Raw genomic sequence first — 2,847 nt, forward strand, 5'->3', positions numbered from 1 at the left:
TAAACTATCACTTTCCCTTATTTTACTAAGCAATTAAAGTAAGATACTTATTTTAAATGTGTTTGATGTCTGCCCTTTTGTCCTACATAAAATAACATCCTCAATGCTGCCTACATGGTTTTATCATCTTAATTGTTAAAAGCCCCAGGAAAGATTCTACCCATCTATCACATCTATATTGTACTTCTTCCATTCTGCCCTTTAAAGTACCCTCACCACATTTTGGACACTTCTGGTGGAGGCAGCAGTACAGTGCCTTTCTAGGAACCTCTGTATGAAAAATTTGGTTTGCTGTTTGGGTTCTAATATTCTTGTGTATTGTCCCCCTGGTGTATCTCAAACAGTGTAAGAAAAAAGATATTGTACAGGACATATGCATACTGCTACTGTACAACATTAAAGTAACAGAAGGCCAGGCAGGCTCCAGTTTTATATGACGTCTGGCTAGCAATCAGTATGACGTCTGGCCAACAATCAGGTTTTTGGTAGTGACAGAAGTCTTCATTAGTTCCAGATTGCAATTCTTATGTTAATTGTATGAGATGTCAATCCTGCTGAAAATTTGGCAATAGTTTCAAATTTTATCTTTAATTCTGAGTGTTTTGACTTTTACTAAATATTCATAAAAGCCTTAGAGAGAAAATGGTGTTTTAGAAGCAAAATCTTGCTATGGTCAACTAGCTATTAAAAGGGAAATATAATTCTCTTTCCTTATTGTCTGCCACAAACACCAAGATTCAAGTTTATATCAATATAAAATTGGGTAATGATATTTTATCTGGACTAGTATTGAAATATACAGTTACATGTTGGCAAGTAGATAAAAATATCCTTTCCTTTGAAAATGTATACACATACATGTCCACACATAATATTCTATTTTATTTGCACAACATCTGAAATCCACATTGGAGATAGTAAAAAACAGAAGTTTTACTTGAATCCGTAGACATTTTAATCAATGACATGAAGAAAAATTTCTGGATTTCTCCATCATAAAGAAGATAAACAAGATTAAATAAAATAAAATGATGCACGAGAGGATAGATATGACAAAAATCTTTTAAGTAAATAATTACAGATATTTCTTAGGAGCTTGATGATTAAAACATAAACAAAAGCAAATTATAATCAATAAATTTTTCTAAAAATATTAAAAGAGGAAAATATAAAGGGAAAAATAAAATCTGTGAAAGTGGTTTGAAGAAACTTACTGTGCTTAGGAAGAAGAATAATATGAATATGATGGAAGAAAATGAATATGAATAGATACCAGCAAACACTTTGAACTACAAAGATTTTTTTTTTTTTTAAATGCTCAGGACTTATTGGCAAGGAAAAGAATCGGGTTATTTACAAAGGGAAAAATTCATGACAGCCTCCGATGTCTATAAGAAAGTAAACATAAAACAGTATTACAGATATAAAACACTAATTTTAATCACATCATATAACATTTAATGTTAAATTGAGCATTTAATATTATTGGATAACAATTTAATTATATGTAAAATTTAATATTAAACATATTGACTTGGTTAGAAAATATATACAAAAGATGCCATTAATATATATGTAACAGAAATTTATAATAAATGGATGGGAAGATATATTTAAGCAAATGCAAATAGAAAATATATACAGTAATTTTAAATTTGCAGTTAAAGCAAAATATTTAAGCAATTTTGAAGATGAGCTCTTTTGAATGCATAAATCATGGTTATATAAAACCAAAGAAACTACTCAGCATTTGATAAATAAAACACAAAAACATACATATATACCCAAAAATAATGTATAAATAAAATAAGCATTTTCAAATATATGTATTACTCCAAAAACAAGAACTTATTTTTATATATCCTAAGAATAAATTATATCCCAAATCCTAAAACCTAATATTTTATACATCACAGATTAGCCAAATTAATTTCTTAATGAGTTTTCTTTCTTTTTTTTTTGAGATGGAGTCTCACTCTGTCGCCCAGGCTGGAGTGCAATGGCATGATCTCGGCTTACTGCAACCTCTGCCTCCTGGGTTCAAGAGATTCTCCTGCACCATCCTCCCTAGTAGCTGGGATTACAAGTATGTTCCACCACGCCCAATTAATTTTTTGAATTTTTTAGTAGAGACAGGGTTTCATCATATTGGCCAGGCTAGTCTGAACTCCATACCTCAGGTGATCCGCCCGCCTCGGCATCCCAAAGTGCTGGGATTGCAGGTGTGAGCCACCACACCCAGCCTCTTAACAAATTTTCTAAAAATAAAACAAGCTGCTGCACTCTTGCCTGCCACCCTCCCCGACCACTGCACCAGTGCACACTTGCCTGTGGACACCCTACCACACTTGGTGGTGCACACTTGTCCATGGCACCCTGCAGCAAGGATTCCTTCATGATCCCCTTACCTCCCCGCCAGAGTGTTGTTGCCAGCAGAGGAGAATACCTTGACCCCTCCAGCACAGCAGGGGGCAAGAGAACAAAGGCTGGCCTGGTCCCAGCCTTCCTGGGGACTAGAGACGGGGAGAATGAAAACAAGCTGGAAAACATACTTCAGGATATTATCCAGAAGAACTTCCCCAGCCAGGAAATACAGAGAACACCATTAAGATATTCCATGAGAAGATCAGCCCCAAGACACATAATTATCAGATTCTCCAAGATCGAAATGAAGGAAAAACTGTTAAGGGCAGCCAGAGAGAAAGGCTGGGTCACCTACAAAGGGAAGCCCATCAGACTAATAGCGGACATCTCAGCAAAAATTCTACAAGCCAGAAGAGATGGGGGGGCAATATTAAACATTCCTAAAGGAAAGAATTTTCAACCCGGAATTTCATATCTAGCCAA

This window comes from Homo sapiens, chromosome 7, assembly GCF_000001405.40.
Source record: "Homo sapiens chromosome 7, GRCh38.p14 Primary Assembly".
Lineage (NCBI taxonomy): Eukaryota > Metazoa > Chordata > Mammalia > Primates > Hominidae > Homo > Homo sapiens.